We start from the raw sequence: 16,663 nt of genomic DNA on the forward strand, positions 1-16,663 counted from the left end.
TAAATCAACATTCAAAAATCAGTAGCATATCCAACAATGAACAATTAGGAAGAAAATAAATAAATCAATCCCATTTACAACTACAAAAATACCTAGAAATAAATCTAATCCAAGGAGTAAAAAAAAAAAAAAAATCTCTCCAAGAAAAACTATGAAATGATGAAAAAAATTGAAGAAGGTATACAAGAAATGGAAAGATGTCCCATGTTTATGTATTGGAAGAATTAATATTGTTAAAATGTCCATACTACCCAAAGCAATCTATATATTCAATGGAATCTCTCTCAAAATACTAGCATTCTTCACAGAAGCAGAAAAAAACAATCCTAAAGTGTTTAAGGAATCATAAAAGACCAAAAATAGCCAAAGCAAATTCTGAGCAAAATGAACAAAACCGGAGGCATCATGCTACCTGACTTCAAAATATAGTACAAACCAACAGGAACCAAAACAACATCATAACTAACTGGCCTAAAAACAGACAGCAATCCCAATATTGGGTATATATCCAAAAGAAAGGAAATTGATATATTGAGACATCTGCACTCCCATGTTTATCACAGCACTATTCACAATAGCAAATACACGGAAACAATCTAAGTGTCCATCAGTGGATGAATGGATAAAGAAAATGTGGTAGCTCTACCGATTATAAAGCACGTGAATAAATTTGGGTAACATTCTTCACCAAAAAAAAAAAAAAAAAAAAAAGAAAATGTGGTATGTACACATATTATTCAGCCATAAAAAGAATAAAATCATGTCATTTACAGCAATATGGATTGAACTGGAGGTCAATACGTTAATGAAAAAATCCAAGCTCAGAAAGATAAATATTGTGTATATTCACTCATATTAGGGAGCTAAATAGCTAATCTTTTGAAGACAGAGAATGTTATGGTGGTTAACAAAGGCTAGAAAGGATAAAAGAAGTGGGGGGAATGAAGAGACACAAGTTAATGGGAACAAAAATACAGTTAGATAGATCAAATAAGTTCTAATGTTTGATAACATAGTAGGATGACTATAGTTTTTAATAATTTATTGCGTATTTCAAAATAGCCAGAAGAGAAGATTTGAAGTGTGCTCAACACAAAGAAATGATAAACGTCTGAGGTGATGGATCCCAGTTACCCTGATTTGATCATTACACATTTTATGGTTGAATCAAAATATCACATGTATCCTATAACTATGTACTATTTTTAATCAGATAGTAAATGAAATGAAATAATAAAATACAATTTGAAAATAAAGTAAGAAAACAGTCCTGCAGTGATCACGTTGAGTTTATTTAATGCAGATAGTTATGTAACAAAACTTGAATTTAAATCTTCTCTTTATCATGCATAATTATCTTTCCTTTAGATAATTCGACTTTTGCTTTGAGAATCAACACCTGGCTGTACCCAGGGTAATTAACCTCAGGTACCAGGAATAACTCTTTTCTAGATTTTGGAAAGCACATGCATTCAACAATAACGTCAAGTTTTCTTCATAAAAAGGGCCTTTCCTAGCTTCAGTTTTTTTCAAGGATTTTGCCTTAAACCATCTCAGATTTACTGTGGCCACTGCCTATGTGGAAGACAATGATTCTTTAAATAGTGAAGGGAGCCAGAGGCGGGCAGATCATCTGAAGTCAGGAGCTTGAGACCAGCCTGGCCAACATTGCGAAACCCCATCTCTACTAAAAACAAAAATTAGTGAGGTGTGGTGGTGGGCACCTGTAATCCCAGCTACTTGGGAGGCTGAGTCAGGAGAATCGCTTGAACCTGGGAGGCAGAGGTTGCAGTGAGCTGCGACTGCACCATTGCACTACAGTATGGGTGACAAAGCGAGAGTCCGTCTCGAAATAAATAAATAAATAAATAAATAAATAGTGAAGATACCAGTAGTGATAAAGACTAGATCTTTGTTACCTGGGGGGAAAAATGTTTAGCTACTAAATCAAATACTCATATTAAGTTCATCATCCTGGCTCTGGTGTACTTTTTAGATCCTGCATTGCATGAAATTTCCCAGGGTCTGATCATGATTTTCCCAGACTGATATGACCTCAATTTACCTGGATTAAGACTAGCCTTAGTTTCACTTCTTGTTGATACCAACTTCCCCAACTCCAATATTTACAACTTGTGCTTTGGTAATGCACCTATTTCTGGACCCAACTTTACAGTTCCTTCTTTTGATGTCTGCTGGTAGATTTCTACCATTCCATTCTAGGATAGAATGAGATCCCCAAACCACTTACATGTTAATATGACCTCCTAAAAATCTGTTTCAGTTAATGAACCCACAATAGGTGATCACCTCGTCCACTCAGTTCTTGTACTTCTTGAGAACTAGTTGATATCATCAGTAAATCTCGGAGAGAAAACAGAACTTCAACTTCAGTAAGAATATGTTAAGATTTCTTTTATAGAAGTAAAGTTGGTTCCCATTTGCATACCTTTCTTTGGCAAGATTAAGATTTGATAATAGAAATGCTTTTTGGATGGGCTTAATCAAATCTAAATGGCCACCAAGGAACAAGGCCTTCAGTGCATAAAAGCAAAATCAATAGCTTCCTATCTTGTGTGATTTGAAGTGCTTGGAGAAAGTGGCACATACAAACCCTTCCTTGATTGACTTTACCAGCTGAATTACAATCCAGATACTACTCACATATACAACTCCCATTTTAAAAATGGGAGTCCTTTGTATGACATATACATGTTATCTGAGAAGGTAAGCTTTAAGTCATTTTTTCAGCCATCTACTTATTTCAGCCATCTACTCAATATTTGGCAGGATCTTAGAGACTTGCTTATCAGTTTTGATAGAACAGAAGGCAAGACGAGTACAGTAGAGTAGCATCTTTGGGGATTATCCCTAAAGGCTGAGCATTTATGGCCAACTTTAGAAGACCCATCAGGCAGAAAGAGTAGGGAGCAGAAAAAGAGGATACAGAAGGATGAAAATAAAAACTTAAAATAAATTTTGCATGCCTCAAAGCTGGGGCATATTTTACAGTTTTGCAGATGTTACAGAATTATTTTAGAGATGTTTTTGGATTCATCTCTTCAGTCTATATGTATGCAAGTCAATAATAGCTGAACAATTTGATGCAGCATTTATATGTTTTCATCATATTTGATGCAGCATTTATTCCTGCTTACATGTCTTTAAGGCAACACTTGAATCTATGACATTGCCAGATCATAGAGAGATACCAGTGTGCTATTTCACTCAGCATTCTGGCTGCTTAATCTTTGCTGAACAAGGGAGCTTCCTGATTCATCCCTCTATATAATACAGGTATTTTTATGTTCAGATTGTGCTTGGTTCCAACTGATACGATCTAAGTATGTATAAATTTTTTTCTTTATCCATGTTGTACAGATATTAGTATCTGAGTGAAGAAAAATGAGACAGATAAGTTCAAAGTTAGTTTTTAGTATCATTTATTTTTTCCAACCAAATAATTTTTTTTTCTTCATGCTCTGCAGAAAGTTGCAGAGCATGAAGAGCTGGGCGCAGTGGCTCACGCCTGTAATCCCAGCACTTTGGGAAGCTGAGGCGGGCAGATCACGAGATCAGGAGATGGAGACCATCCTGGCTCACACGGTGAAACCCCGTCTCTACTAAAAATACAAAAAAAAATAGCCGGGCGTGGCGGCGTGCGCCTGTAGTCCCAGCTGCTGGGGAGGCTGAGGCAGGAGAATGGCGTGAACCCGGGAAGTGGAGCTTGCTGTGAACTGAGATCTCACCACTGCACTCCAGCCTGGGTGACAGAGCGAGACTCCATCTCAAGAAAAAAAAAGAAAGTTGAAATATGGTCTTTGGGGCAAAAGAGAGACAAGGAGATGCTGTCATGTCTGTCTCATCTCTTTTCTCAGGGTGTGACTAAGAGACTCAAACCACATCAACTGTTGCCAGGATTGCTCCAGGCAAAATCATGAAATCATGATATTAACAGCATTAATGCACAAACTGACTGCTCAGTAATCATTTCTTAACATGTCCTTCTTTATTCAGGGTAAAATCAAGTAAGTTTAAGTCACTAGGCCACATTCAAAGTATGTGATCTACTGAGGTGAGTGAGAACTAGTTTGTCTCCTTTGAGCATCATGTGAAATCCATAAAGCCATGCCTTTTTTAGGAGTAGGAATACTCAATCTGAGGAACAGCTTAAGTGAACATATACTTAGCGTGAAGTGAACATTCTGCACTTACCCAATTATTGGTCTCATTTCTAAAAACCCACCTAGGATTACTATGTTAAGTTGCATCTCCATTATGGTCACCCGGTTGTGTTCTTTCCAAAATTCTGTCTGCCACTGCACTGTCAACTGCCCACGCAAATAATTGTGGCCAAAAGGGAATTATGTCATTATTCAATTAAGAAGTACATCTTAACGGCTGGGCGTGGTGGCTCACGCCTGTAATCCCAGCACTTTGGGAGGCCGAGGTGGGTGGATCACGAGGTCAGGAGATTGAGACGATCCTGGTTAACATGGTGAAACCCCATCTCTACTAAAAATACAAAAAAAAATTAGCTAGGCGTGGTGGCGGGCACCTGTAGTACCGGCTACCTGGGAGGCTGAGGCAGGAGAATGGCGTGAACCTGGGAGGCGGAGCTTGCAGTGAGCCAAGATCAGGCCACCGCACTCCATCCTGGGCGACAGAGTGAGACTCCGTCTCAAAAAAAAAAAAAAAAAAAAAAAAGAAGCACATCTTGAAATCCATATGATACGAAACATATTACAGGTCCATTTTACACTGTTTGCTCTCTTAGAATATGCACCAACCAAATAACCTCAAATAGTAAATTTTTCAAGGTAGAAACTAATTACATGATGAGTTGCACATAACATTACCGCTCCAAAGAAAAGCTAACATATTTGTCAATTTTGAAGTCTTAGTGCAGATTCTATAGTCTCTAATGTATATGACTGGTAGAGAATTGGTAGGGGTAAGGTGATATTCTGGTCTTTCACTAGCTTAAGCCAAACAAATAATTACAATGAGCTAGATGACTTCAAATGAGTGACACTGTTCTGTATTTAGCAGCTCCCAGTCTTGAAATATTATCCTTCACTCTCATATGTTCTTTTACTGGTACTTAAATAATCTTGATTATTTTTCTGAGACCATAAAGGGTATTCTGTACATCTTCTGCAGGCTTGCTTTCCTTCTCACATCCATAAGTGAGAATGTCCCCAGATACTCAATTCTTAGCCCTGAATTCTAAAATTTTTCTAAGTTTTCTGCATGTGCTATATATTGACAGTGAAACAAATATTTCTTATTTCAGATGTTTCTTTTCCATAGGGAAGGAGATCCATTAGCATATCCTGTTCTTTCTATCTTTATCAATCCTTGTGCCTTTTATGGAGATTTAGCTTGATTCTAATGGGCAAAACAAGGAATTTTTCTTAAGACTGGCTCTACCTGTCATAGCCCCTCCCACTCTTCTTTTCTGCTGAGAATGGTCTGTTATATTCATCTGGACTTTTCATTCAAGACAGTTAGTCATAAAGTAAATGGATTGACTTTGAAAATTAAAAAAAAAAATCCCTAAAACTAAAAAATTCACGGGAAGACTTAACAAGAATCATAAAAAGATCTTTCAACTTTTCATTGATTATCTTTGTATAAAACAATGTAAATTTTCAAGTGTATCAGTACAGAAACTTTTTGTGATCCATTAGATGTTTGTACATTTTGCCTCTAAGCCTCTTTTCAATCCTGGAATCCCCTTTGCAGGAGGTGACACTTTTGATCATACAAGAGTTTTTCTTTTTTTTTTTTCTAGTAGTTTTCTTGCTTTTTTCTCTATTCTGATATTTTCACTAATTTTTCACATTCCCTAAAGTTCTATGTAGCCAGTTCTAGGTTTCAAATCTACCTTGAAATTTATGCAGACAGCTAGCCAGTAGCAAATTATCTATGTTTGCTTTACCACATAGCAGTTTGAGGGATAGTGAATCATTTGTTAGACAAGATTATAATGCCCAAAGCAACTCCACATAAGTGAGAAAGAAGAAACTATTCTTCAGGCTTGCAATTCAAGTTAACTGGACCAGAACAATACAGCTATGGAGGCAATGCCATAAAGTTGTCTGCTCCCAACATCATTTCAAATTTGAAAATATCTATATCCCAAATCCTTAAAGTTACGTTATGTTAAATTATCAGAGAAAGATGCCAGGCTCTAGCCATTTGAAAAGTGATTTCAATTTATATAACTATTTAATTTATGCAAAGGTTAAAACTGATATTGTTTGACAGAAATTATTAATTATGTCCTTCACAATGTAGTTCAAGCAATGGAAAGGAATAAGAAATTGTCTGTTTCCATAGACAGTCACTAGCAAAGCAGAGATAGAAATCAGACACCTTCAATGAGTTAAATATTCTGAGAATTTTCTATATTATGGAAAAACAGTCTCTTATGAAAGCTTTTTAAAGAAAATAATAAACACGACATAATCCTTTTTTCTTAACTATAAGAGAGACTTATTCTAAATATACATACATAAGTATATTCTATATTTTAGAAATTATTAAACTTGAAATATTTAAAACAACATAATATTTTGAACATACATTAATTTATTCGCAATAAAATCCCTAATTTGTTTTTAAATATATCTGCTTAAAGGAGGAAGGGTGACTATATAAAATAAGATTGCAACATAAAGCTACAAGGCTCAAGAAAAAAGTAAGAAGAAAACAGAATGTGAAAATAGATACTGGTGAAGTTCAAGAAACAGAGAAAGAAGGAAAAATCATCACAGTAATTAATACCATATAAGAAGCAACGCAATGGAAAACAAGCACTTTTAAACTATACAATAAGGCCACGTAGAACAAGCCTCAGAGAAAATGAAATTGAAAATGAAATGAAAAATAATACAAAAGTAAAAAGAATAGATTAATAGCAATCACTAGAGCCAACAGGTGACAGCTAACTCACATGTAAAAGGTGTCTCCACAAAAGAAAACTAAAAAAATGAAAGAAAAATATGTAAAGATTCAACTAGATGAAATTTTCTTGAGCTTAGAGCTAGGAGATTAAAAGAATGCAACATGTTCAAAGAAAAAGTGACAGAGAGAAATCAAACTGAGGTATAAATTAATAGACATATAGGGTTTTAAAGATTTTTTAAAAAATATTTGGACATTTAGACAAAGAACTTAAATAAAATAATCAGACTTTTGTTAATATAGAAAATAGCAGGGTAATTATTACAAAATCCTCATGGAAAGAAAGTGTGAGTCCCTCAGAATTTCCTATCCTGAATAAGAGAAGAAGCAATAGACAATACATTTACTCATTCAAGATGCAATGATTTTTGTATGTGGTGAGAGATAAGGGTCTAGTTTTATTCTTCGGCATGAGACTTTCTATTTTCCCCAACACTACTTATTGAGAAAAGTATCTTTTCCCCAGTGTATGTTCTTGGCACCTTAATTGAAAATCAGTTTGCTAGAAATACGTGGACTTATTTCTGGGTTCTTTATTTTTTTCCATGGGTCTATGTGTTTGTTTTTATACCAATACCATGCTGTTTGCTTACTATAGCTTTGTGCTTTTTGTATTACAGTACATTTTGAGGTCAGGTAGTGTGATGCCTCTAGCTTTGTTCTTTTTGTTCAGAATTGTGTTTGTTATTTGATGTTTTTCATGGTTACATGAAATTTCAGACTTTTTTTTATTTTTGTGAAGAACATCATTGGTGTTTTGATAGGGATTACATTGAATCTGTAGATTGCTTTTGGTAGTATAGTCGTTTTACAATAATTATTTTTCCAATCTATGAACCAGGAATATATTTCAATTTTTTGTGTTCTCTTCATTTTTTTAATCAGAACTTTATGATTTTCATTGTAGAGATATTTCACCTCTTTAATTAAATGTATTCCTAGCAATTATTTTGTGTGACTGTTGTAAATGGGATTGCTTTATTGATACCTTTTTCAGGTAAATCCTGTTATTGGTCAAAAGAAATGCTAACTTTTATGTGTTGATTTTGTACGCTATGACTTTACTGAATGTATTCATCAGTTCTAAGCATATTTTGTGGGATCTAGGTTTTTCGATAGATAAAAAATGATGTCTCCAGAGGGGCAATATGACTTCCTTCTTCCCAAGTTGGATGCACTCTATGTCTTTCTTCTGCCTAATTGCTCTGCAAGAACTTCCAGTACTATATTGAATAAGAGTGGTAAAATTGAGCACCTTTGTCTTTTCAAGTTATTTCTTGTTCAGTGTGACACTACCTACAGGTTTGTAATATATGGCCTTTATTGTGTTGAGGTACATATTTCTATACCTAATTTGTTTAAAGTTCTTACATAAAGGAAAGTTTAATTTTATAAAATGCTTTTTCTGCGTCTTTGAGATGATCATATAATTTTTTTCTTTATTCTGTGGATGTGATGATGTAGCATATTTATCAATGAATCATCCTTGCCCCGTGAGACAAATTGCACTTAGTCATAGTATATTATCTTCTTGATGTACTGATGGATTCAGTTTGCTAGTATTTTCTTGAGGATTTTTGCATTTTTTGTTTTCAATCATATGTGGAAGCTAAATAAGTAATCTCATAGAAGTGGAGAGTAGAATAGTGGTAACTGGAGGCTGATAAGGCTAGCAGGGAGGAGGGGATAAGAATTTGGCTAATGGATATAAAATTACAACTAGATAAAAGGAATAAATGTTGGTATTCTACAGCACTGTAGGGTGATTATAGTTAACAATTATTTATTCTCTATTTTTAATAGCTAAAAGAGAGGATTTTGAATGTTCATTATAAAGAACTAACTATTTGAGATTATGTATATTCTAATTACCCTAATTTGATCATTACACATTGTATACAGGTATAAAAATATCACTGGACCCCCATAGATATGTAAAATTACTATGTAAATTAAAAATAATTTTATAAAAATGCTATAAAATATAGTGATCATAAGTCCTCCTTGAAAAGACCAAGAGGACAAATCAGCCATGGAACACATGAATAAACAAATCTGTGACAAAGGAATAAAGAGATCTGTGACATGAATAAAGAAATTGGTGACAGAAAACTGGCAGTAAACATTGAATATATTTAAATATAGGGCTAAGTTTAAATTTCAATGGAAATTTTTCTTACATAAAAATAAAATTTTAGAAATTACAAATTTATGTTTTATAATTTATATTCTGAAAATATAGAAAAGGTGAGAGGGATGAGGTATAGGAAGGGAGAGGCAAATATATTTAAAATTAGCAAATTAAGCATTACAAATATGGACATATATTTTATCTCTACAGGAAGCCACTAGTGAACTAAAAATATAACATCCTAAGAATATAATAAATTAGCCTCAGGAAGGGGAGAAAGTAAGGTAGAAGGCAGTAGAAGTATACTTATGTCATTACCTAGAGTGGAGAATTAATACATACTCTCAAAAAATAAAAAATTATACACTATAATATTGCTCTATAAAGTTCACCAAAAAAAAAAAAAAACTGAAATTTTCTGTAAGAGCACATGGCACAAAACAAAGCAAAATAAGAACCATCTTACAGTGAAAGAAAGATGAAGAAGAAAGGTAAGAAGAGAAGGTTGGGGGGAATCAAAAGCAAGAAACACTAGTATCGAAGTGAGGTCAGCAAGATGGTATAATAAGAGGTCCTCCACCTGTAAACTCTCACAATAATAATTTGACAGTCAGCCACCAAATCAAAGTGCCTTGTGGGAGCTTTGGGATCCAGGTAGGAGGGTGCAAAACCCAGGTGAGTCCAAGAATGAGGAAGGTCGATTTGAGAAGGTAGGCCTGTGTCCAAATGGCAGACTTGCTGATGATGGCCTTGGCTGCAGACACAAAAACAGTTCTGTCCCCATGTGAACTCAGATGTAGCCTTAATTTTCCGTGCTCTGCCACCAGCAACCTCCAATAAAAGACCTTGGAGAAGCTATACCTGCCCATGTCTTGGGTAACAGGTCCACCAAACTCTGTTCTGGCCATAGAACACGAAGCAGCTCGTGACTCTGGTTCAGTCCTTCTCAGCTGCAGCCTGGACGCAGCCCTGCTCATCCAGAGACCTGAATGGAGATGCACTCATTCATAACTCTACACCTAAGCCCCACAGACCTCTGCCTACAGAAGCAGCCCTCTGACCCACCACCAGCCCCATTCAGCCATTGTCTGGGGGAAGTCCTGTTTCCCCTACCCATGAACCTGCCAGAAGTCCTGCCTGTCTCCTCTCCCAAAGGGAGGCAGGAGAATTGCTTGAACCCAGGAGGTGAAGATTGCAGTGACCCGAAATTGCACCACTGCACTCCAGCCTGTGTGACAAAGCAAGACTCTGTCTCAAAAAAAAAAACAAAGTTCCCTATAAACAAAAGCTAAGGGAGTTCATTTCCACTAGACCTGCCTTAAAACAAAAGGATGCTAAGTAACAACATGAAAACCATGAAATTATAAAAATCATTGTTAAACATAAACGTATACTCAAATTTAGAATAATAGCGTAATAGTGTTGCATAAATCAATTTTAACTCTAGCATAAAAATTAAAAGTCAAGAGTATTAATAATAACTGTGGCTGCAATAATTTGTTGATGGATACACAATATGAAAGATATATGGTGTGACAGCAACAGCATAAAATGTGGGGAGGAGTAAAAGTGTCAAGCTTTTGTATGTGATTGAAGTTTAGCTGTTTTCAGTTTAAAATAAACTCTGTAACTATAAAATGCTCTATGTAAGCCTCATAGTAATCACAAAGAAAACTTCAAGCAGATACAGAAAAGATAAAGAAAAAAGAATTAAAGTGTATTACTACAAAATATCAATAATGTCAAAAGAAGACAGCCAGAAAAAAAGGCAGTGGGTTGCTGGAGGGAAGCAACAAAGCAGTCAGAAAACAAAGTGGCAATTGTATATCCTTACATATGAATAATTATTTAAATATAAGTGCATTAAATTTTTAATAAAAAATACAGAATGGATGAATGAAATAATAAACAAGATCCAACAATATGTTGCCTACAAGACATTCACCTTAGCTTAAAGAACACACATAAACTGAAAGGGAAGGCATGGAAAATGATGTTTTATTCAAATGGTAACCAAAACAGAGCAATGGTGGGAATACTTATCTCAGACAAAATAGACTTTAAATCAAAAACTGTAACAAGAGACAAAGAATATCTCTTTATAATGATAAAGTGGTAATTATTGCCAGAGGATATATCAATTGTAAACATATAGGCATACAACACTGGAACAGCCAAATACAAACAAAAATATTAACAGAACTGAAGTGAGAGGTAGGCAGCAATATAACAGTAGTAGGGACCTACAATATTCCACTTTCACCAGTAGATAAATCATTCATAAAGAAAATCAATTTAAAAAACAGAGAACTTAAGTACTATAGACCAAAAGCACCTAACAGACGTTACAGAGCATTGCATGAAACAGCAGCAGAATATACATTTTCCTGAAGCACATCTGGAACACTTTCCAAGAGAGATCATGTGTTAGGCCACAAAACAACTCTTAAAAAATTTAAGAAGATTGAAATCTCATGGAGTATCTTTTTTGACCACAATGGTATAATACTGGAAATAAATAACAGGAGGACTCTTGGAAAATTCACAAATAAGTGGAAATTAAACAACACCCTCCTGAACAACCAATAGGTCAAAGAACTCAAGTGGGAAGTAACAATGTATCTTGAGACAAATAAAAGTGAAAACATAACATACCAAAACTAATGGGAAGCAGCAAAAGTAGCATGAAAGAGAAATACATAATGATAAATGTCTACATTAAAAAAGAAATATCTCAAAAAAACAGCATCTCTTTATATGTCAAGAAACTAGAAAAATAACAAACTAAGCCCACAGTTAACAGGAGAAAGTAATAAAGATTAAAGCAGAAATAAATAGAGAGTAGGAAGACAACTGAAAAGATTTTTTTTTAAACTGTGTTTTTTAAAAAAGATAAACACAAAGACAAGTCTTTAGCTTGACTAATGAAAAAGAATAAAATTATATTGCAAGAGGAGATACTATAATTTATTCAATAGAAATACAAAAAATCATGAGACTACTATGAAAATTATATTCCAACAAATTGGATAATCCAGGAAAACATCAATAACTTCCACAATAATGGATGTTTTAAATACAACTAACCAAGACTAAATTATGAAAAAAATAGAAAATCTGAACCAGAGCAATAATAACTAAAGAGATCAAAGCAGTAATCAAAAACCTTCCAACAAAGAAAAGTACAGGACCAGATGGCCTCACAGATGAATTTTACCCAACAGTTAAAGAATTAATGCCAATCCTTCTCAATTTTTCAAAATCTAAAGAAGGGGAACACTTCCAAACTAATTTTATGAAGTCAGCATTACCTTCATACCAAAGCCAGATAAGGACAGTACAATAAAAAAAATTGCAGGCCAATGTTCCTCATTAACATAGATGCAAAAAGCTTCAACAAAATACCAGCAAATCAAGTTCAACAGCATGATAAAATGATGATACACCATGATCAATTGGGTTTTATCCCTGGAGTGCAAGGATGTTTTGACATATACAAATCAATAAAAATAATACACTACCTTAAGAGAATGCAAGATACAAATCACATGAGCATCTCAATAGATGCAGAAAAAACATTTGACAAAATTCAACATCCTTTTATGAGAAAAATTCTCAACAAGTTAAGAATAGAAATAATGTACCCTAACCTAATAAACACCTTATAAAACAAGCCCATAGCTAATACTATACTCAATGGAGAAAAATATTTCTCCTAAGATCTGGAATAATACAAGGGTACTCACTCTTATTTATTTTATTCAACATAGTAGTAAACTCCCTGGACAGAGAAGTTGGCAAGAAAAAGAAAGGAAAGTCATCCAAATTTAAAAGAAAAAAGCTAAATCTTCTGTGTACTGATGATACGACTTTATATATAAAATTTCCTGAAACTCCACCCAAAACAATTAGAACTAATAAATGAATTGCAGGGTACAAAATTAACATATAAAAATCAGCTGTGTTTCTGTTATGAACTATCCAAAAATGAAATTTCAATAGCATCCCAAAAAGCAAATATGTAGGAATAAACTTAACCAAGAAGGTGAAAGACCTGTACACTGAAAACTATAAAACCCTGATGAAAGAAATTAAATGAGACACAAATAAAATGAAAAGGCCTCCTGTGTTCATGGGTTGGAAGACTTAAAAAAATGTTCATACCATCAAAAACAATCTACAGATTCAATATTACCCCATAAAAAAATCCAATCATATTTTGTACAGAAATAGAAAAAAAAATGCTAAAATTTATGTGGAACCACAAAAGACCCAGGAGAGGCAAAGTGATCTAGAGAAAAAAGAAAAAACTGGAAGCAGTACATTTTCTGATTTCAAAATATATTACAAAGCAACAGTAATTTAAAACAGTATGTTCCTGTCACAAAGACACATAGGTCAATGGAGCAAAACAGAGATGCCAGAATTATACCCGTACATATGCAGTCAAGTGATTTTTGACAAAGGCGCCAATAAAAGATAATTTGAAAAGACAGTCTCTTCAATAAATAGTGTTGAGAAAACTGGATGTTCACGTATAAAAGAATGAAATTGGATTTTTATTGTGTACCATACACAAAAATGAGCTTGTAATGGGTTAAAGACTTAAAAGTAAAAATCTGAAGCCATAAAACTCCTAAAAGGAAACATAATAAATAATCTCTTTGACATTGGTCTTGACAGCGATTTTTGGATATGACACCAAAAGTGCAGGAAAGAAAAGGAAAAATGTATAAGCTATATCAAACTAAAAATTTCTGTACAGAAATGGAAACAATCAACAAAATTAAAATGTCAACCCACAGAATAAAAGAAAATACTTGCAGACTATATATCTAATAAGGTGTTAATATCCAAAATATATAAAGAATGAATACAACTTAACAGCAAACCAACAAACAAAACCCAAATAACCTAATTTTAAAAAGGGAAAAGGATCTGAATAGACACTTTTCAAAAGAAGACATACAAATAGCCAACATGCTTATGAAAGCATCCTTAGCATCACTAATCATCAGAGAAATACAACTCAAAACCACCATAAGACAATATCCTACATTTGTTAGGACAGCTATTATCAAAACAAACAAGCAAATCAATAGATAAGTGAAGACTAGAGTGTGAAGAATAGGGAGCCTGTGTACACTGTTAGCAGGAATTTAAATTAGTGCAGTAATTATAGAAAACAGTATGGATATTTCTCAAAAAAATAAAAATAACACTAATATATGATTCAGCAATTCCACTTCTGGGTATATAGCCAAAGGAAATAAAATCATTATCTCAAAGGGGCATTCTTACTCCCACATTCACTGCAGCATTATTCATAATATCCGACATGCAAAAACAATCTGTTTGTCAATGGATGAATGAATAAATAAAATACATACATATATACACACACATATGCAAAATAAAACTATTTATCCATAAAAAGGGAACCCCTACCATTTGCGACAACATGGATGAACCTGGAGGCTACTATGTTAAGTGAAATAAGTCAAGGAGAGAAATAAAAAATACTGTACTGTCTCATGTATTGTGGGGTTTTAAAAAGGGAAACCCACAGAAACAGAGAGTAGAATGGTGAATGCCAGGGACTGGGTGTGAGGGAATGGGGAGGTGTTGGTCAAAGGGTACAAGTTGTAAGATGAATAAATTCTAGGAATCTAACGTACAGCATGGTGACTTTAGTTAAGAATAAAGTATTATAGGCCGGGTGGAGTGGCTCACGCCTGTAATTCCAGCACTTTGGGAGGCTGAGGCTGGTGGATCACGAGGTCGAGAGATTGAGACCATCCTGGCCAATATGGTGAAACCCCATCTCTACTAAAAATACAAAAATTAGCTGGGTGTGGTGGCGCATGCCTGTAGTCCCAGCTACTCGGGAGGCTGAGGCAGGAGAATTGCTTGAACCTAGGAGACAAAGGTTATAATGAGCTGAGATGGTGCCACTTCACTCCAGCCTGGTGACAGAGCTAGACTCCGTCTAAAAAAAAAAAAAAAAAAAAAAAAGAATACTGTATTGTATACTCAAAATTTGCTGAAAGTAGGTCTTAGATGCTCACACACACAAATGGTAACTTTGTGAGGTGATGAATGTGTTAGCCTGATTATGGTAATCATTTCACCATATCAAATCTTTTCACTATATCAAATCATCATGTTTTACACCTTAAATGCAAACAATTTTTATTTGTCAATTATACCTTAATAAAGTTGAAAAAAGAAAGTAGCATAAAGAAGACAACAAAAAGAAAGATGATAATGCTTCGGTCAAATTCACCTATAATAAAAATTAGATAAATATGTTATTCTAATATATACATGTGGAGATTAAGCTTAGCTTACACAGTAAAACCAAGCTATGTGGTTCAGGTAAGAGGTAGTGTCGTGACATGGTCACGAGGACACATGTACAACAGTGGCACTACATTCTGAAAATGTGAAATGAAATATGAATTGTCAACAAAACTCATAGGCAGAGAAGAAACAAAGTGCTTTAGACCTCATCTTTTCGCCATTTTGTAGCAAAGAATATTTCTGGGCTTGACACACCATTGTAAAGGTTATATGAGAGGAAACATGTCCCAAAACACTTTCATATTTACAGAGAAAGGTGGGAAGCAACCATGGGGAATCTTCTAATCAAGGAAATGGCCTTACTAAGCAAGGTCTCCACAGCTCTAACTTACATCAATTTGTTTGTTCAGTCAGATCAATTAAATATTAGAAATACGTATTAGTCAGTTTGGGCTGCTTGAAAACATTTATTTCTCATGGTTCTGGGGACTGGAAACCTGAGATCAGGGTGCCTAGAAGGTCAGGTTCTTGATGAGGCCCCTCTTTTTGCTTATGTTCTCACATGGTCATTCCTTGATGCCAAGGTGAGGTCTTACATCTTTCCCTCTTTTTATAAGGGCATTTATCATGGGCCTCCACTCACATGACCTCATCTAAACCTAATTCTCTCCCAAAAGTCCCATCTCCTATCTTGGGGATAAAGCTCTCTCTCTCTCTCTCTTTCTCTGTCTCTCTCTCTCTCTCTCTCTCTCTCTCTCTCTCTATATATATATATATATATATATATACACACACACACACACACACATATACGTGTGTGTGTGTGTGTGTCTCTATCTCAGATTAAATTTAAATTTACTGATCCAGCTTCTTGCTCAACTACCTAAAGGTGACAGGAGATGAGCCTCCTTCAGGGCATTAGAGTTTATCACCCTAAAAATATCCAGATCAAAATTAGCTGGGTGTGGTGGCACATGCCTTTAATCCCAGCTACTGGGGAGGCTGAGGCAGGAGAATCACTAGAACCCGGGAAATGGAGGTTGCAGTGAGCCGAGATCACGCCACTGCAGTCCAGCTTGGGCGACAGAGAAGGACTCTCTCTCAAAAGAAAAAAAAAAAACAATCTGAGTCTAAATTAATCAAAAGGTTAAAATTCAAAGGATATGTCTAATGAATATATACAGGAGACAAGAGCAAATATTCAAATATCACTTCTTGGTACAATACGAAGGTTTAAACTCAGAACAAATCACATTA

This window comes from Homo sapiens, chromosome 7, assembly GCF_000001405.40.
Source record: "Homo sapiens chromosome 7, GRCh38.p14 Primary Assembly".
NCBI classification, from domain to species: domain Eukaryota; kingdom Metazoa; phylum Chordata; class Mammalia; order Primates; family Hominidae; genus Homo; species Homo sapiens.